General features: G+C 39.8%; 2 protein-coding genes across 31 annotated transcripts in view, besides 2 other annotated features; one reads left to right on the top strand and one right to left on the bottom strand.

Annotated features, from left to right (window-relative positions):
• DEK (DEK proto-oncogene) overlaps nt 1-14,323 on the top strand; it is a 40,671-nt gene extending 26,348 nt beyond the window's left edge. For 3 of the 4 annotated variants that reach the window (NM_001134709.2, NM_003472.4, XM_024446544.2), the window contains 4 exons: nt 667-802; nt 1,583-1,731; nt 11,941-12,009; nt 12,453-14,323. In NM_001134709.2, the coding sequence (NP_001128181.1) occupies nt 667-802; nt 1,583-1,731; nt 11,941-12,009; nt 12,453-12,464 (366 nt within the window). In that variant the 3' untranslated portion in view covers nt 12,465-14,323. Of the gene's footprint in view, nt 1-666; nt 803-1,582; nt 1,732-11,940; nt 12,010-12,452 lie in introns of those variants that run through there. The other variant, XM_047419335.1, reaches the window with a different exon arrangement.
• Nucleotides 10,382-10,895: an enhancer, noted in NCBI's record as "NANOG-H3K27ac hESC enhancer chr6:18227519-18228032 (GRCh37/hg19 assembly coordinates)". NCBI's record gives its function as "activates a minimal SCP1, AML or CMV promoter by ChIP-STARR-seq in naive H9 embryonic stem cells {active_cell/tissue: H9 hESC(naive)}" and the evidence as "EXISTENCE:reporter gene assay evidence [ECO:0000049][PMID:30033119]".
• Nucleotides 10,896-11,408: an enhancer, noted in NCBI's record as "NANOG-H3K27ac hESC enhancer chr6:18227006-18227518 (GRCh37/hg19 assembly coordinates)". NCBI's record gives its function as "activates a minimal SCP1, AML or CMV promoter by ChIP-STARR-seq in naive and primed H9 embryonic stem cells {active_cell/tissue: H9 hESC(naive and primed)}" and the evidence as "EXISTENCE:reporter gene assay evidence [ECO:0000049][PMID:30033119]".
• Nucleotides 14,329-20,496, bottom strand: part of KDM1B (lysine demethylase 1B) — a 68,433-nt gene continuing 62,265 nt past the window's right edge. For all 27 annotated transcript variants that reach the window (NM_001439117.1, NM_001439118.1, XM_017010445.3 and 24 more), the window contains 2 exons: nt 20,298-20,450; nt 14,329-16,274 (listed from right to left, as the gene is read on the bottom strand). In NM_001439117.1, the coding sequence (NP_001426046.1) occupies nt 16,191-16,274; nt 20,298-20,450 (237 nt within the window). In that variant the 3' untranslated portion in view covers nt 14,329-16,190. The remainder of the gene's footprint in view (nt 16,275-20,297; nt 20,451-20,496) is intronic.

Here is a 20,496-nt window from a genome sequence, read left to right as displayed (position 1 = left end):
AACACAAGATTCTAGGCCAGGTGTGGTGGCTCATGCCTGTAATCCCAGCACTTTGGGAGGCCAAGGCAGGCAGATCATCTGAGGTCAGGAGTTCAAGACCAGCCTGGCCAACATGGCAAAACCTCATCTCTACTAAAAATACAAAAATTAGCCGGGTGTGGTGGCGAGCACCTGTAATCCCAGCTACTAGGGAGGCAGAGACAGGAGAATTCGCTTGAACCCGGGAGGGCAGAGGTTGCAGTGAACCAAGATCGGGCCACTGCACTCCAGCCAGGGTGACGCAGCAAGACTCTGTCTCAAAAAAAAAAAAAAAAAAAAAAAAGATTCCAGTTGAAAGAGAGAGAACATAAATAAGAGAAGATAATATTATCTATATTTAGGGGTCCCCCCCAAGATTAAGTAGAGTAATGCATATGTAGTTTATCCATAGTGTTGAATAAATATGGGCAACTCTTGTGTGTGTGTGATTGTGATTTGTCATGCTTAGACTTGTGTTGGGATAAAATTGTTGTATATTAGTCATCTCTCAAAAAGAATTTTTAATTGCTGATACCAAATATATTGGTTTTCTCTAATATTATTAAGGGGCATAGGGGAAGTAGAGGGATGGGATGGGATAGCATTGAATCTCATCAATATGTGTACTTTTACTTTCTTTTGTAACAGCCACCAAAAAAGACAGCCAAAAGAGAAAAACCTAAACAGAAAGCTACTTCTAAAAGTAAAAAATCTGTGAAAAGTGCCAATGTTAAGAAAGCAGATAGCAGCACCACCAAGAAGAATCAAAACAGTTCCAAAAAAGGTATGTTAGAAATAACATTAATCAGCAACTTTAAAGATATAGCATATATTAATATGTTGTACATAGTATTTAAGTGTGTGGGAGAAACAGGTAAACTGCAGAGAACATTGCGGGGAGAAGTAATACAGGTTGAATATCCCTTATCTGAAATGCTTGGGACAGGAAGTGATTCAGATTTTGCAATATATATATATAGAGAGAGAGACAGAGAGAGAGATATCTTGGGGATGGGACCCAGTCTAAACATGAAATTCATTCATGTTTCATATTCATCTTAAATAGCCTGAAGGTAGTTTAATATTTTAACTAAATAAATTATTTATTGCAGTGGTGCCGTTACAGCTCACTGTAGCCTTGAACTGCTGGACTCAAGCGAGTCTCCTATCTTGGCCCCCCAGAGCACTGGGTTTACAGGCTTGGACCACTGCCCTTGGCCTGAAACCAAGTTTTGACTGCGACCCGTCACACGAGGTCGGGTATGGAATTACCTCCTGGTGGTGTCATGTTGGTGCTCTGAAAAGCTGGATTTTGGAACATTTCAGGTTTTGGATTTTTGGATTAGGGATGCCTAACCTGTATACCAGTTTTTTATAGTTTTTGATTTTTCAAATTGACTAAAATTTGTATGCATGTTTTATAGGTAACTGTAGAGTAGTGATTTATAATTTTTTTGATCCAGTACCCCTTTGAGAATCTGTTGAAAGCTTAAAATTCATCTCAGCCTTTGTTAAATGTTAATTTACTATGTAAGAAAAATTATTATTATTATATTACTTTTAGAAAGTGAGTCTGAGGATAGTTCAGATGATGAACCTTTAATTAAAAAGTTGAAGAAACCCCCTACAGATGAAGAGTTAAAGGAAACAATAAAGAAATTACTGGCCAGTGCTAACTTGGAAGAAGTCACAATGAAACAGATTTGCAAAAAGGTAATTAGACAAATGTTTAGATTATTTTGCTTTTGCTAGAAAAATTCTTTCACTTATCTCTGAATTTGAAGCTAAATACTTACGTGCATTCACTTATTGAAGAAAGATTTATTGAACTACTATATGCCAGATCTCCTTACAGGTGCTGGGATACCACTTAAAATAGTCAAAGTCTCTGTCCTAATAGAGTTATTTTATAAACAACATTAAAATGAATAAAGTTAGAGTGAATAAAATTAAAGTGACACATTCCAAACCACATAGGAAACTTTTTCTGATCTGTAGGTTGTTTCTATTGATGTATCCTTAGTTTATGTTAGTTTAAAGAAGCAGAATCTCATGAACCGTCTTATTCTCTTCTTAGTGTGATAAATGAGCTGTTATAGATTAGGTTCTTAACTCAGACTTCTGCAGCGTCTTTCTAATATTTCTAATACTTCTCAGGAAATAAAGTGGCCTTGTCTTGAATATGATTCCATAGGGATTCTATGGAAATTTTAGAAACTTGTCTGTTGGGGTAAAATAAAATTACAATTTGGAATGTACCAAAAGTGAAATAGTCTGTGCTTTTTTAAAGGACATTGATTATTATTTTGTTCATTCATTCACCATTCATTGATTCTCTACTACATTTCAGGCACTGGGCTAAATGTTACAGGTAGAAGCTAGATGTGGTGGCTCACGCCTGTAATCCCAACACTTTGATAGGCTGAGGCAGGAGGACTGCTTGAGGCCAGGAGTTCAAGACCAACCTGGGCAGCATAGTGAGATCCCGTCTCTACCAAAAAAAAATTTTTTTTAATGTTACAGGTGGAACCAGAGAAGCCATTACTTAGCTTTCAAGAGGAGCTTACAGTCTAGTGGGATGGAAAGAGATAAATATTTTAGTAATTAAAATATTGTAAGCGAGGGCTGTGTTAGAATATGGAAGGTACTGCAGTGCCACAGAACAAGCACCCTACTTGAGGCTGGGGGAATCTGGAAAAGCATCTTGGAAGAGCTCTTAACTGAATTTCCTAGTGGAGCATCACCCATTCTATACAGTTGAGGAACAATAACACATTAACCAAAACAATAATTGAAAGGAATAGTATTAGTTCAACATGTCTCAAGACTAGGATTGGAAAGAAGTCCTCACAGAAGTTAGGAGAAAATATTAGAGTTTTGCAGATCTTAAATATGCCATGTTAGAGTTTGAGTTTCTTCCTGAAATAAATGAGGAATTCAGAGGCTATGTAGATTATTGAGATTTAGCAGGGGCATAACGCAATCATATTTTTATTTTTAAAAGTTATCCTAGAAACATTAAGAACAATGCAATAGCAAAGGATGAGATGAGAGAGGCAGGACACCCAGTTATATCATCATTAAAATGACAGTGTGGAGTGGAGAGGAAGTCAAAGAGAAATTAGTTCTGTCCATTAGAAGGATTTTTGTGAATACCTTCATGTAAATTTTTTAAAGGGATTAATAACATGGAGAGGTCAGGTGAGAAGGAACTGACCTGTTTTGGAGTCTGCAATTAGGAGACGATGACATAGGGTGGTAAAAGCAAGAGTTATTAATGAATAGTGAGGAAAATGAACAAAGTAACTTCTGTTTCAAGCAGCTGTCTTTGGAAGGAAAATAGTAGGTAAATGGGAGTAGGTGAGAAAGTATTTTTAATGGGTAGTAGGGGTGGAGGGGAGAAAGCAATTTGGTGGGAAAGGAGAAGTTACAGGAGAGGTGAAGGGTGGTCCTGTGGAGGCAAAATTAAGAACCATTGATGAATCCAGATACAACTGGAGGGGAAAGTGCTGTCAGAAAATTGAAGGAATTCATAATAATGGCTTTTTGGCTGACAGTAGCAGTGTGAGACACTTGAATAAGGAGATGAAACTGCCATTGGTGGAAATGAAAGGAGAGAGCCTGACTGGGAGCTCCAGGGGGAGGAGCCTTTGAAGATGAATGCCATGAACTGAAAATGAGACCAGTCTCTTCAAAGTTATTTTCCCACAGCAATCTGTAGTCTGGGCTTAACCATAGAAAAATGAGTGGTTAGACCAATTCGGGATTGGGGTTTTGCAGGGAAAGAACAAGGGGCAAACAATTTTTTTCTTTTTTTTAATACTTTTAAGTTCTAGGATACATGTGCACAACGTGCAGGTTACATATATATATATATATATATATCCATGTGCCATGTTGATGTGCTGCACCCATTAACTGGTCATTTACATTAGGTGTATCTCCTAATGCTATCCCTCCCCCGTCCCCCCCACCCCACAACAGGCCCCGATGTGTGATGTTCCCCTTCCTGTGTCCAAGCGTTCTCATTGTTCAATTCCCACCTATGAGTGAGAACATGCAGTGTTTGGTTTTCTGTCCTTGCGATAGTTTGCTGAGAATGATGGTTTCCAGCTTCATCCATGTCCCTACAAAGGACATGAACTCATCCTTTTTTATGGCTGCATAGTATTCCATGGTGTATATGTGCCACATTTTCTTAATCCAGTCTATCATTTGGGTTGGTTCCAAGTCTTTGCTATTGTGAATAGTGCCGCAATAAACATAACATGTGCATGTGTCTTTATAGTAGCATGATTTATAATCCTTTGGGTATATCCCCAGTAATGGGATGGCTGGGTCAAATGGTATTTCTGGTTCTAGATCCTTGAGGAATCGCCACACTGTCTTCCACAATGGTTGAACTAGTTAAAGTCCCACCAGCAGTGTAAAAGTGTTCCTATTTCTCCACATCCTCTCCAGCACCTGTTGTTTCCTGACTTTTTGATGATCTCCATTCTAACTGGTGTGACATGGTATCTCCTTGTGGTTTTGATTTCATTTCTCTGATGGCCAGTGATGATGAGCATTTTTTCATGTGTCTGTTGGCTGCATAAATGTCTTCTTTTGAGAAGTGTCTGTTCATATCCTTTGCCCACTTTTTGATGGGGTTGTTTGATTTTTTCTTGTAAATTTAAGTTCTTTGTAGATTCTGAATATTAGCCCTTTGTCAGATGAGTAGATTGCAAAAATTTTCTCCCATTCTGTAGGTTGCCTGTTCACTCTGATGGTAGTTTCTTTTGCTGTGCAGAACCTCTTTAGTTTAATTAGATCCCATTTGTCAATTTTGGCTTTTGTTGCCATTGCTTTTGGTGTTTTAGACATGAAGTCCTTGCCCATGCCTATGTCCTGAATGGTATTGCCTAGGTTTTCTTCTAGGGTTTTTATGGTTTTAGGTCTAATGTTTAAGTCTTTAATCCATCTTGAATTAATTTTTGTATAAGGTGTAAAGAAGCGATCCAGTTTCAGCTTTCTACATATGGCTAGCCAGTTTTCCCAGCACCATTTATTAAATAGGGAATCCTTTCCCCATTTCTTGTTTTTGTCAGGTTTGTCAAAGATCATATGGTTGAAGATGTATGTGGTATTATTTCCGAGGGCTCTGTTCTGTTCCATTGGTCTATATCTCTGTTTTGGTACCAGTACCATGCTGTTTTGGTTACTGTAGCCTTATAGTATAGTTTGAAGTCAGGTAGTGTGCTGCCTCCAGCTTTGTTCTTTTGGCTTAAGATTGTTTTGGCAATGCGGGCTCTTTTTTGATTCCATATGAACTTTAGTTTTTTCCAGTTCTATGAAGAAAGTGATTGGTAGCTTGATGGGGATGGCATTGAATCTATAAATTATCTATGGCCATTTTCAAGATATTGATTCTTCCAATCCTTGAGCATGGAATGTTCTTCCATTTGTTTGTGTCCTCTTTTATTTTGTTGAGTAGTGGCTTGTAGTTCTCCTTGAAGAGGTCCTTCACATCCCTTGTTAAGTTGGATTCCTAGGTATTTTAATCTCTTTGAAGCAATTGTGAATGGGAATTCACTCATTATTTGGCTCTCTGTCTGTTATGGGTGTATAGGAATGCTTGTGATTTTTGCACATTGATTTTGTATCCTGAGACTTTGCTGAAGTTGCTTATCAGCTTAAGGAGATTTTGGGCTGAGACGATGGGGTTTTCTAAATATAGAATCATGTCATCTGCAAACAGGGACAATTTGAGTTCCTCTTTTCCTAATTGAATACCCTTTATTTTCTTTCTCCTGCCTGATTGCCCTGGCCAGAACTTCCAGCACTATGTTGAATAGGAGTGGTGAGAGAGGGCATCCCTGTCTTGTGCCAGTTTTCAAAGGGAATGATTCCAGTTTTTGCCCATTCAATATGATGACTGTGGGTTTGTCATAAATAGCTCTTTATTATTTTGAGATACGTCACATCACTACCTAATTTATTGAGAGTTTTTAGCATGAAGGGCTGTTGAATTTTGTCGAAGGCCTTTTCTGTATCTATTGAGATAATCTTGTGGTTTTTGTCTTTGGTTCTGTTTATATGATGGATTACGTTTGTTGATTTGCGTGTGTTGAACCAGCCTTGCATGCCAGGGATGAAGTCCACTTAATCATGGTAGATAAGGTTTTTGATTTGCTGCTGGATTCGGTTTGCCAGTATTGTATTGAGGATTTTTGCGTCGATGTTCATCAGGGATATTGGTCTGAAATTCTCTTTGTTTGTTGTCTCTCTGCCAGGCTTTGATATCAGGATGATGGTGGCCTCATAAAATGAGTTACGGAGGATTCCCTCTTTTTCTATTCATTGGAATAGTTTTAGAAGTAATGGTATCAGTTCCTCCTTGTACGTCTGGTAGAATTCAGCTGTGAATCCATCTGGTCCTGAACTTTTTTTGGTTGGTAGGCTGTTAATTATTGCCTCAATTTCAGAACCTGTTATTGGTCTATTCAGATTCAACTTCTTCCTGGTTTAGTCTTGGGAGGGTGTATGTGTCCAGGAATTTATCCATTTCATCTAGATTTTCTAGTTTATTTGCGTAGAGGTGTTTGTAGTATTCTCTGATGGTAGTTTGTATTTCTGTGGGATCGGTGGTGATATCCCCTTTATCATTTTTTATTTCGTCTGTTTGATTCTTCTCTCTTTTCTTATTAGTCTTGCTAGCGGTCTATCAATTTTATTGATCTTTTCAAAAAACCAGCTCCTGGATTAATTGCTTTTTTTGAAGGTTTTTTTGTGTCTGTGTCTCCTTCAGTTCTGCTCTGATCTTAGTTATTTCTTGCCTTCTGCTAGCTTTTGAATGTGTTTGCTCTTGCTTCTCTAGTTCTTTTAATTGTGATGTTAGGGTGTCAATTTTAGATCTTTCCTGCTTTCTCCTGTGGGCATTTAGTGCTATAAATTTCCCTCTACACACTGCTTTAAATGTGTCCCAGAGATTGTGGTATGTTGTGTCGTTTTTCTCATTGGTTTCAAAGAACATCTTTATTTCTGCCTTCATTTTGTTATGTACCCAGTAGTCATTCAGGAGCAGGTTGTTCAGTTTCCATGTAGTTGAGCTGTTTTGAGTGAGTTTCTTAATCCTGAGTTCTAGTTTGATTGCACTTTGGTCTGAGAGAGAGTTTGTTAAAATTTTACATTTGCTGAGGAGTGCTTTACTTCCAACTATGTGGTCAATTTTGGAATAAGTGCGATGTAGTGCTGAGAAGAATGTATATTCTGTTGATTTGGGGTGGAGAGTTCTGTAGATGTCTGTTAGGTCCGCTTGGTGCAGAGCTGAGTTCAATTCCTGGGTATCCTTGTTGACTTTCTGTCTCACTGATCTGACTAATGTTGCAGTGTGGTGTTAAAGTCTCCCATTATTATTGTGTGGGAGTCTACGTCTCTTTGTAGGTCTCTAAGGACTTGCTTTATGAATCTGGGTGCTCCTGTATTGGGTGCATATATATTTAGGATAGTTAGCTCTCCTTGTTGAATTGATCCCTTTACCATTATGTAATGCCCTTCTTTGTCTCTTTTGATCTTTGTTGGTTTAAAGTCTGTTTTATCAGAGACTAGGATTGCAACCCCTGTTTTTTTTGTTTTCCATTTGCTTGGTAGATCTTCCTCCATCCCTTCATTTTGAGCCTATGTGTGTCTCTGCACATGAGATGGGTCTCCTGAATACAGCACACTGATGGGTCTTGACTCTTTATCCAGTTTGTCAGTCTGTGTCTTTTAATTGGAGCATTTAGCCCATTTACATTTAAGGTTAATGTTGTTATGTGTGAATTTGATCCTGTCATTATGATGTTAGCTGGTTATTTTGCTCGTTAGTTGATGCAGTTTCTTCCTAGCATCGATGGTCTTTACAATTTGGCATGTTTTTGCAGTGGCTGGTACCGGTTGTTCCTTTCCATGTTTAGTGCTTCCTTCAGGAGCTCTTGTAAGGCAGGCCTGGTGGTGACAAAATCTCTCAGCATTTGCTTGTCTGTAAAGGATTTTATTTCTCCTTCACTTATGAAGCTTGGTTTAGCTGGATATGAAATTCTGGGTTGAAAATTCTTTTCTTTAAGAATGTCGAATATTGGCCCTCACTCTATTCTGGCTTGTAGAGTTTCTGCCTAGAGATCCGCTGTTAGTTTGATGGGCTTCCCTTTGTGGGTAACCCGACCTTTCTCTCTGGCTGCCCTTGACATTTTTTCCTTCATTTCAGCTTTGGTGAATCTGGCAATTATGTATCTTGGAGTTGCTCTTCTCGAGGAGTATTTTTGTGGTGTTCTCTGTATTTCCTGAATTTGAATGTTGGCCTGCCTTGCTAGATTGGGGAAGTTCTCCTGGATAATATCCTGAAGAGTGTTTTCCAACTTGGTTCCATTCTCCCCGTCACTTTCAGGTACACCAATCAGATGTAGATTTGGTCTTTTCACATAGTCCCGTGTTTCTTGGAGGCTTTGTTTGTTTCTTTTTACTCTTTTTTCTCCAGACTTCTCTTCTCGCTTCATTTCATTCATTTGCTCTTCAATCACTGATACCCTTTCTTCCAGTTGATCGAATCGGCTACTGAAGCTTGTGCATGCATCACGTAGTTCTCGTGCCATGGTTTTCAGCGCCATCAGGTCATTTAAGGACTTCTCTACACTGGTTATTCTAGTTAGCCATTCGTCTCATCTTTTTTCAAGGTTTTTAGCTTCTTTGTGATGGGTTCGAACATCCTCCTTTAGCTTGGAGAAGTTTGATCGTCTGAAGCCTTCTCTCAACTCATCAAAGTCATTCTCCGTCCAGCTTTGTTCCATTGCTGGCGAGGAGCTGTGTTCCTTTGGAGGAGAAGAGGCGCTCTAATTTTTAGAATTTTCAGCTTTTCTGCTCTGGTTTCTTCCCATCTTTGTGGTTTTATCTACCTTTGGTCTTTGATGATGGTGACGTACAGATGGGGTTTTGGTGTGGATGTTCTTTTTGTTAGTTTTCCTTCTAACAGTCAGGACCCTCAGCTGCAGGTCTGTTGGAGTTTGCTGGAGGTCCACTGCAGACCCTGTTTGCCTGGGTATCAGCAGTGGAGGCTGCAGAACAGCAAATACTGTCCTGCCTGATCCTTCCTCTGGAAGCTTCGTCTCAGAGTGGCACCCGGCCGTGTGAGGTGTCAGTCAGCTCCTACTGGGAGGTGTCTCCCAGTTAGGCCACTCAGGGGACAGGGACTCACTTGAGGCAGTCTGTCAGAGGTGGAGTCTACAGAGGCAGTCAGGCCTCCTTGAGCTGTGGTGGGCTCCACCCAGTTCGAGCTTCCTCGCAGCTTTGTTTACAACTCAAGCCTCAGCAATGGCGGGCGCCCCTCCCCCAGCCTTGCTGCCACCTTGCAGTTAAATCTTACACTGCCGTGCTAGCAATGAGCGAGGCTCCGTGGGCGTGGGACTCTCCGAGCCAGGCGCGGGATATAATCTCCTGGTGTCCCGTTTGCTAAGATTGTTGGAAAAGTGCAGTATTAGGGTGGGAGTGACCCAATTTTCCAGGTGCCGTCTATCACAGCTTCCTTTGGCTAGGAAAGGGAATTCCCTGACCCCTTGCGCTTCCCAGGTGAGGCGATGCCTTGCCCTGCTTCAGCTCACGCTCGGTTGGCTGCACCCACTGTCCTGTACCCACCGTCCGACAAGCCCCAGTGAGATGAACCTGGTATCTCAGTTGGAAATGCAGAAATCACCCGTCTTCTGCGTCGCTCACGGTGGGAGCTGTAGACTGGAGCTGTTCCTATTCGGCCATCTTGGAACCTCCCGGGGCAAACAATTAGAGTAATTTAAATGATGAACTATATTTTAGAGGGTTGGCATACTACAGCCTGTGGGCTAAATCCATTCTATCTTAGTCACCTGGTTTTGTAAGCAAAATTTTATTGTAATACAGCCACATCTATTTATTTAACTATTGTCTATGGCAGCATTGCCACTACAACGCATAGTTGAGTAGAAACTGACTGGCAGAGTAGAAACTGACTGGCAAAATTGAAACTATTTGTACCATCTAGCCCTTTACAGAAAAAGTTGCTGACCCTGAACTATACAGTGGAAGTAAAGCCTACAGGGTGCTTGCAGACTGTGAGCTTATAGAGTCAGGACCTGAGTCAAGCAGCAAGTATAACAGGACTGAGAAAATTGACAAAAGGCAGAAATTTAGTCAAATTTTAGGAGTACAGGACTCTTGAGACCACCTGGGTCTTAGGATTTAACTTTAGGGAGGGACTGAGCAGTGGAGTAGAGGAAGCAGTTCATTGCTTTTCAGGTTGTGGAATCATAGGTAGGGTGCTGGATAATAACAAGGGTTGGAGAAGAAAGAAGTTTTCCCTAAAAGACACTTGGCAGATGACTTGCCAACATAAAGAACTTAGTTCTGTTATCTAAGATCTATCTGGATGTTTTCTTTACCCATGTTTGTTGGGGTTTTTTGTTTTTGAGACAGGGTCTTGCTCTGTTGAAGGGGTGGGTTGCCCCTCCACACCTGTGGGTGTTTCTTGTTAGGTGAAACGAGAGACTTAGAAAAGAAAAAGACACAAAGTATAGAGAAAGAAATAAGGGGACTCAGGGGACCAGCGTTCAGTATACGGAGGATCCGGCCGGCTTCTGAGGTCCCTTAGTATTTATTGGTCATTCTTGGGTGTTTCTCGGAGAGGGGGATGTGGCAGGGTCATAGGATAATAGTGGAGACAAGGTCAGCAGATAAACATGTGAACAAAGGTCTCTGCATCATAGTCAAGGTAAAGAATTAAGTGCTGTGCTTTAGATATGCATACACATAAACATCTCAATGCCTTACAGTATTACTGCCCGCATGTCCCACCTCCAGCCCTAAGGCGTTTTTCCCCTATCTCAGTAGATGGAACGTACAATCGGGTTTTATACCGAGACATTCCATTGCCCAGGGACAGGCAGGAGACAGATGCCTTCCTCTTGTCTCAACTGCAAAGAGGCGTTCCTTCCTCTTATACTAACCCTCCTCAGCACAGACCCTTTAAGGGTGTCGGGCTGGGGGACGGTCAGGTCTTTCCCTTCTCACGAGGCCATATTTCAGACTATGACATGGGGAGAAACCTTGGACAATACCTGGCTTTCCTAGGCAGAGGTCCCTGCAGCCTTCCGCGGTGTTTGTGTCCCTGGGTACTTGAGATTAGGGAGTGGTGATGACTGTTAACGAGCATGCTGCCTTCAAGCATCTGTTTAACAAAGCACATCTTGCACAGCCCTTAATCCATTTCACCCTGAGTTGACACAGCACATGTTTCAGAGAGTAACAGCATCTCAAGGCAGAAGAATTTTTCTTAGTACAGAACAAAATGGAGTCTCCTGTGGTCTACTTCTTTCTACACAGACACAGTAACCATCTGATCTCTCTTTCTTTTCCCCACACTCTGTGGTCCAGGCTGGAATGCAGTGCCACCAACACAGCTCACTGCAACCTCAACCTCCTGGGCCCAAGCCATCCTCCTGCTTCACCCTCCTCAGTAGCTGGGATTACAGGCATGCATGACCATGCCTGGCTACTTTTTAAATTTTTTGTAGACACAAGGTCTCACCAGGTTGCCTGAGGCTGGTTTCGAATTCCTGGGCTCAAGTGATCTTCCCACCTAGGTTTCCCAGAGTGTTGGAATTACAGGCGTGAGCCATCACATCTGGCTTGTTTATGGTTAGTTAATTCATTCCAGACTCTCAGCCTGAAAACACTGAGAATGTTTGCATGCTAGTTTTCCACATCATATACAATATTATTAAAATACTCATTTGGAATAGAATTCCATATGGGTTAACCAGAGTACTGTTGGGATGGTTGTGGCTATTTGCACGTAGCAGATTTCCTGCTTTTATTCAAAGACAATATTACTGGATTTTAAAATCTGCTTTTAACATTATTTTTCCTTTTCACTATACATAGGTCTATGAAAATTATCCTACTTATGATTTAACTGAAAGAAAAGATTTCATAAAAACAACTGTAAAAGAGGTAAATATTTCAGTCTTTCAAGTTTGACTTTAGAAATATAAGACAAAAGTAATTACATAAAATACTCCATATTTTTCAAAATATTCATGTCACTAAATATCACATTTGATCCTCACATTTCTTCATAATAGGGAAATTTATTTCTTCTCATTCCCACTTTAAAGCTTAAAATTAAAGTTTGAACAGTTAGTGATAAGACCTGAACTCAGATTATGATGTGGCCTCATGGTGTACCTGGGTAGCTGGGCATCTCAACGTTGCTCTCACAAATACTTGAGGAAGTTCCTGTCTACGAGGCAAAGGTGAGGGGAAGATCAGCAGGTAGCTGTAATTCTGTATTGATCTCAACTGATTTTTGAAGGACAAAATAGTAAAATAGATGTGGAAAAAATGGGATAAAGGTTTATGATTTATGGCAAAATAATGTTTCTCTTTCATTACAGCTAATTTCTTGAGATAGAGGACAGAGAAGATGACTCGTTCCCATAGATTTGAAGATCTGATTTATACCATTATACCAGCAAAGAGAATGTATTTCCTTTTCTAAATCCTTGTTAAGCAACGTTAGTAGAACTTACTGCTGACCTTTTTATCTTGAGTGTTATGTGAATTTGAGTTTGCTGTTTTAAATTGCATTTCTATGCCATTTTTAGTTTAAAATCTTGCATGGCATTAATTGTTCCTTGCTTTTATAGTTGTATTTTGTACATTTTGGATTTCTTTATATAAGGTCATAGATTCTTGAGCTGTTGTGGTTTTTAGTGCACTTAATATTAGCTTGCTTAAGGCATACTTTTAATCAAGTAGAACAAAAACTATTATCACCAGGATTTATACATACAGAGATTGTAGTATTTAGTATATGAAATATTTTGAATACACATCTCTGTCAGTGTGAAAATTCAGCGGCAGTGTGTCCATCATATTAAAAATATACAAGCTACAGTTGTCCAGATCACTGAATTGGAACTTTTCTCCTGCATGTGTATATATGTCAAATTGTCAGCATGACAAAAGTGACAGATGTTATTTTTGTATTTTTAAAAAACAATTGGTTGTATATAAAGTTTTTTTATTTCTTTTGTGCAGATCACTTTTTAAACTCACATAGGTAGGTATCTTTATAGTTGTAGACTATGGAATGTCAGTGTTCAGCCAAACAGTATGATGGAACAGTGAAAGTCAATTCAGTGATGGCAACACTGAAGGAACAGTTACCCTGCTTTGCCTCGAAAGTGTCATCAATTTGTAATTTTAGTATTAACTCTGTAAAAGTGTCTGTAGGTACGTTTTATATTATATAAGGACAGACCAAAAATCAACCTATCAAAGCTTCAAAAACTTTGGGAAAGGGTGGGATTAAGTACAAGCACATTTGGCTTACAGTAAATGAACTGATTTTTATTAACTGCTTTTGCCCATATAAAATGCTGATATTTACTGGAAACCTAGCCAGCTTCACGATTATGACTAAAGTACCAGATTATAATGCCAGAATATAATGTGCAGGCAATCGTGGATGTCTCTGACAAAGTGTGTCTCAAAAATAATATACTTTTACATTAAAGAAATTTAATGTTTCTCTGGAGTTGGGGCTCTTGGCTTTCAGAGTTTGGTTAATCAGTGTTGATTCTAGATGATCAACATAATGGACCACTCCTGAATGAGACTTAATTTTGTCTTTCAAATTTACTGTCTTAAATCAGTTTATTAAATCTGAATTTTAAAACATGCTGTTTATGACACAATGACACATTTGTTGCACCAATTAAGTGTTGAAAAATATCTTTGCATCATAGAACAGAAATATATAAAAATATATGTTGAATGTTAACAGGTATTTTCACAGGTTTGTTTCTTGATAGTTACTCAGACACTAGGGAAAGGTAAATACAAGTGAACAAAATAAGCAACTAAATGAGACCTAATAATTGGCCTTCGATTTTAAATATTTGTTCTTATAAACCTTGTCAATAAAAATAAATCTAAATCACTGGTGTTTTAAGTCACTTGCATTTGATATCTTATAGGTGTATATAGCATTTCCTTATGGGGAATAATTCTGAAAAGGGATTTTTAAATTGATTCAGCCCTATAACCTATACAATTTGGAATACTCTTTTGTGGTAATGGACCATTTTCTTGGAGTGACTTCACAAAACTGAATAATTAAGGTTAATTTTATGACCATTTGCTATAAAGAAGGTAAGTAGTCATGCATAGAGTATTTGGAAGTGAGGAAATGGAGTTGTTCTGTATGAAAGTTCTTGATGAGTACGCACACTTATTAAATGGATGTATCACCACTACAGTACAGAGTACATGTGAAAGTCTAGTTTTTTATTAGTTTTACACAACCAGCTATTCATGAACTGTAGTTAAAACATTGTAAATCTGTATATTTACTGCTACTCAATTACAAAATCTTCAGATGGCATTGAAAAAACATATCCAAAGTAACTCAAGAAAAAAGTACCATGGCTTCTTAAACAAAAAATCAAATGAAGTATGTCACTTGATAGGAAGTTTAAAACACACATTTACCATACTTTAAAGTAGGTTTTCCCCTACTTGTAGCACAGTTCAAGTGCCTGGAAACTAACATAATAATTTACTGTTAACCATTTCAAACTTAACATTTTGCATTTATCACTTTAAAACACATGCTGTCTAAACATTTTAATACATGATACTTTAAAGCAGAATACTTGCCAGTCAGTACCAATGAGTCTCAACAAATAACCTAAATATCAGAGTTGTCTTGGGTTAACTTTTGAGATATACAGCTGTTGGCTTGTTTTGGGACCACACTTTGATTGGGGGGGGCGGGGGGCGGGCGGTGGGGGAGGTGTCTTAAATGCCTGAGGTTCACTGCACATTCTTGGTGTGTTAGGTATTTACTCGTTATAAACTGACCTACTTTTAAATTTTTAAAATACTCAATATTTTGAAGTCTCTTTAAAGTCATATTTAGTCCCTTCTTTAAAGCAAACCAGTATATTATTGTTCAAAAACAAAAGCATATTTCTAACCTGTATACTGAAGTTTCTTGGCAAAATAGGCATCCTGAAGACCCTGCAACCAGTGTTTTATTTTAGAATGAGATATTATTAAACTGTTTTCTGTCATGAGTGTTTTTAAAAAAAAGATAAAAGTAAATACTTGCCATGTTCTTAGGCCTTTAAAATATAGCTTATAAAATGTATACTATTTACCAGGAGAGCTCACATTTTTCTGCAGTTTTCCAGTGGACCTGCCTATGGAATACTGTAAAGAAAAATCTGCAAAAATATTCCTAGCAATTGAATCAGTGCTTTTAAATAAAAGAAGTGGAGAGGGGCTTGGTTAAATTATTCTGACAAGTTTTTTTGCTAGTGGTTGCCAAAATTAAGGATATTTAAAGTGTCCTATCACCCAAATTTGGCTTTAAGAAAAAGCTATATTCTGTGTCTATAGTGTGAAGCCCACACTATCTGTGCTGCATTCTCAATGATACAATACCTATCTGGAAACTTTCCTGTTTTGCCAATGGGTGCACAAATCTAAAACATTTTATCACAAAAGGTACTTGAATTTAAATTTCTTTTGAACACCCAGTAGGAGGAAATATGTACAATACAAAATACCTAGAAGCTTCATTTTACTGTCAACTGGAGTTTGTGCTGTATCCAAAAAAAAGTTCTATCTAAATTTTAAGTAAAAGCTCAATATTGGACCTATATAAAAATTAAGGCTCATTGGTAAAGATACTGATAAATTGTCACAGAAGAAAAACATGGCTTTATCTGGTTTTTAAATGATTCCTGCTTGATTGACTTGGTTTCTCAATGTATGAAAATTGATCAGCCATATAAAATGTGAAATCTAAAGGGAACTTCCAGCCATGGAACAATCAAATCCATGGCCTCAACTGAAACTTACATTCTGCTTTATTCTGAAATCCAGACTTTCAGCAGTAGTTGAACCTATGGAAAATGCAATTAAATCTAAGTGCTTATAAGGTTTTTTGAGGTCAGTGCTTTTAGAGTGATGAAATAGGTTTGCATTATCATATCGCCTTAGAAACATTTCAGTTTTACTATGTAGAGACGGTTTTTTCCCCCTCTTATAAAACTGAGGTTTAACATGTGATTCAAATTTCCCCATCTGGGGTACAGAAGAAAGCTGGGTCCACCGAATTCTTAAAATGCTGCAATCTTGCTTGCTTCTCGAACGCCACTCAAATATGCCCCTGTAACAGTTTGTGGGAAATGCCTGTTTGTTGCCTGTAAAACATAATTACATAATTTGAGATCATGCATAGAGTTGAGTTGATATCAAAAGGTAAAACAAGGTTAGACTTTATCTGGTCTAACATAAAGATTTGTGCCACTCCTGTGTGCTCATATTCACACTCACCCATCGTAACACTGGAACTTTTCTGGTTATCTGGCCATGCATTGTCAAATTCACTCATTGTATGCTATCTTGAAGTACTACGCAGCACTCTTTAAAATACTAAGTATATGTGATAGGTACTAGAGTTAAGAACAATTAAGACACAGTCCCTCCCATCAGACAAGTAATGTAGCTGGTACAATCACAGGCGAAACAAGTACAAAAGATGAATGGCAGTTCAGCCAAGCCACAGATGGACTTTTGCTAGATGGGTAAAAAAATAGGTAGAGAGTTACGTTACTCAAAGGATATACCAGGGACCGTAAGTTCAATAAGAAAAAGACAATGTGAGTGAGGGCTGTTGGATTGGGAGGAAGTAAAACGACTCAATAATAGGAGAACCTCACTCAAGGAATGGCTATGGTGGGAACAATAAGCAAACCAGGAGGATAGGGGAGGACAGGATAGGAGGAGGCCTGAATTAGTGATTAAGTAATTATGACAAGGTCTGAGATGTGGCTGTGGAAAGGGGTAGCTGAAGAGGAGCTGAACAGACAGCAGAAAATGGAGGATAAGAAATGGAGAGGTGAAGTGAAGTGTAGTCACCTAAACTGATGCCTGGATAGAAGGGAAAACATCCAGGGGCCAAAGGCTTCAATGAATGGGGGAGTGATTACATCAGCAGGAATATAGTGACTAGTGGGGGGAGAAAGTGGCAGTGAGGGAAGGAAGCCTCAGAAATAGGTTTTTAGAAGAAGGAGCGGTGGCTCACGCATGTAATCCCAACACTTTGGGAGGCAGGTGGATCACCTGAGGTCAGGAGTTCAAGACCTGCCTGACCAACATGATGAAACCCCATCTCTACTAAAAAAAAATAAAAAATTAGCTGGGCACAGTGGCACACACCAGCTGAAACAGAATTGCTTGAACGCAGGTGGCGGAGGTTGCAGTGAGCCAAGATCGCGCCACTGCACTCCAGCCTGTGCGACACAGCGAGACTCCATCTCAAAAAAAAAAAAAGGAAAAGGTGAGGTAATAATCGCATCAAAGCAGCAAAGGAAAGCAAGAAGCCATCTAAGCCATGTTCATGACCCTAAGGCACAGTAGCCTGAAACAGCCGTCTCTCCGAAGCTGCTGACATTTGTTGTCTGGCATGCAGCCTTTATCCCCTTGCCACAGAGTAAGGTCTTCATAGGCCAAGGAGTAATCAAAGTCATCTGGTTTTTAGATGTCATTCTTTTGTTTTGTTTTGAAAAAGAGTCTCACTCTGTCTCCCAGGCTGGAGTGCAGTGGCGTGATCTTGGCTCACTGCAACCTCCGCCTCCCAGGTTCAAGCGATTCTACCTCAGCCTCCTGAGTCGCTGGGATTACAGGCGCCCGCCACCATGCCCAGCTGATTTTTGTATTTTTAGTAGTGACGGGGTTTCACCATGTTGGCCAGGCTGGTCTCAAACTCCTGGCCTCAGGTGATACACCTGTCTCAGCAATGTGCTGGGATTACAGGCGTGAGCCATCGCACCCGGCCAATGTTATTCTTCTGTAAACAAAAACGGTAACTATATTTTAGATGAAACAATGAGACGTGTACTTCTAAACCATATTAAACGAAGTAGGAACACAGGTGAAAGAGTGGTAACAATTCATTTTAAGTTTGGGGTTGGGGGCAGGGGTTTTAACAAAAAGCAAACCAATTCATCCCAGAGAATCCTTAGAAAATCTCAGCCATTGGAAGTATGAGGAACCATGGAGGCAGAGGTTAGCAAGGGGTGAAAACAGGATTGGCTTAAAGACTATAAAGAGCAATTATTAATACATCCCTCACCACATTCCCCACTTGACCGGCTGCAACTCCTCAGAGATGTGACTTAGAGATCAGGGCGAAGCACCAAATAAAATGGGGATGAAGTGAAATGAAGCCTTCATAACTAACAATGAAGCTTCCAGCGCCCACAGTGCCAGGGGCTGAGCTTCCACCACACAGGAAACTAACTGTTCCCAGATAGTGATGTTTGGGAATCCGGCCACTGGTTGATAAGCTTGCTGGAGCTTTCACAAAGCTTTTAAAAAAATGCCTTGCTCGAATCTAAGTCAACGGTGATGGATCGGGGATTTGGACATGTAGCAGGCAAAGACTGCAGCACACAAAATAAGAACTCTGAGACTGAGGAAACCAGGGAGGGAGGGAGCATAAAAGCAAAATCATCCAAAGCTTTAAAACCTTAGAAACAAGTTGTAACAAGAGGATGCTACAAAAAAGGAACATTCTGCAAACAAGAAAGTGCTCATAAAGTAAAAGCCAAAAATTTCAAAGTCAATTAGAGTTGGACGATTTTAAAATCTCCCCCAAAAGTAGCATAAGAGATGAATAATAGTAAAGAGGAAAAATTAGATGCTCAATTCAAAAGTTCCAAGATATGGAACAGAATCTCTAGAAAGAAAGAGAAAAAACTCATCTTTATTTTAGCAGATAAGAAAGTGAAGTAAAAGGATCAGAAATCAGAATAGCAAAACATTTTTCAACAGAAGTAAATCAAGAAAGAGACGGATCTTAGAAATAAAGGCCCAATGCTGGAGAGTGATTTTAAAAGAGATCCAGGCCAGGCGCGGTGGCTCACACCTGTAATCCCAGCACTTTGGGAGGCTGAGGCAGGCAGATCACGAGGTCAGGAGATGGAGACCATCCTGGCTAACACGGTGAAACCCCGTCTCTACTAAAAATACAAAAAATTAGTCGGGCGTGGTGGCGGGCGCCTGTGGTCCCAGCTATTCGGGAGGCTGAGGCAGGAGAATGGTGTGAACCCAGGAGGCAGAGCTTGCAGTGAGCTGAGATCGTGCCACTGCACTCCAGCATGGGCAACAAAGAGAGACTCCGTCTCAAAAAAATAAATAAAATTTAAAATAAAATAATTAAATTAAATTAAATTTAAATTAGAGAGACCCAGGAGGACACTCTGCAGTAATCTCAGAGGTCAACCAGTGTGGACCAGAGCAGAGGGAAGAGGACTCAGGAAGGGGACATTTCAAGGACTGGAGCTAGCTGGCCAGCTCAGACAGTGTCAACTGTAAATGAGAGACAAACCCAGGGTATGGGAGACATGGGGAGAGGTACCAAAGGAATTAAGCTAATGACCAAAGGAGCCATTATAATTGCCAAGAAAACAGAAAACTGTGTAAGAAGGTATCAGTGGACACCTTCTTGGCTCAGCAGTAAATGACATTTACACAGCCATGTAAATACCAATACCAATTTAATGAAAAGTGTGAAATAACCATGTTGAGCAAATGGTGCAGAGACTAAATGGGCTAAGTCTTTAACCCAATAGGGAGGCAGTCAATAATGTCTGTCTAATGTTAAATCAGAAGATGACATCATAGGCTGGGCATGGTGGCTCACACCTGTAATCCTAACACTCTGGGAGGCTGAGGTGGGAAGACTGCTTAAGGCCACGGGTTTGAGGCCAGCCTGGGCAACACTGCGGACCCCGTCTCTACAAAAAATAAAAAAAAAATTAGCCAGGCTTGGTGGCACATGCCTGCAGTCCCAGCTACTTGGGAAGCTGAGGTGGGAGGGTCACCTGAGCCTGGGAGTTTGAGGCTGCAGTGAGCTAGGACTGTACCACTGCACTCCAGTCTGAGCCACAGAGCGAGACCCTGTCTCAAAAAAACAAAAAAGAAAGAGAGATGGCAATATAAACACTTTTAAAATATGAAGTGAAGTCCAGAAGGAATAGCTGGAAGGTTAAAAACGGCTGCCTCTGGGAGCAAGAGGATGGTGAGAAGGCTTCTGCTGTCTGTGGTCATAAGACTTTTGACAGTATTTGAATTGGTTTTTAAACTCTGGGCAGATATCATTTTAGATGAAAGACAGAAATCAAAATACAAATAATTGGGTTTGGAATCAAGATCCATACCTCACCAGCGAAAAAGACGGTTCCTTGAATGTCTTCAGCAATGATATCGTAGGCCTCCCCACTTCCACCTGTCTTCACAAAACTGTATGCCATCTGGATCCATGGGTCTGTGCTCCACCGAGTGACAAAATACTTTGTGGGATCTGGGACCTCCTATGTCCAATAGAAAGGAATTATGAAGTAGGATCAAGAAGGGATG

Source organism: Homo sapiens, chromosome 6 (assembly GCF_000001405.40).
Source record: "Homo sapiens chromosome 6, GRCh38.p14 Primary Assembly".
Lineage (NCBI taxonomy): Eukaryota > Metazoa > Chordata > Mammalia > Primates > Hominidae > Homo > Homo sapiens.
The sequence above is the reverse complement of the archived record's forward strand: the minus strand, read 5'-3'. Positions and strand labels throughout refer to the sequence as shown.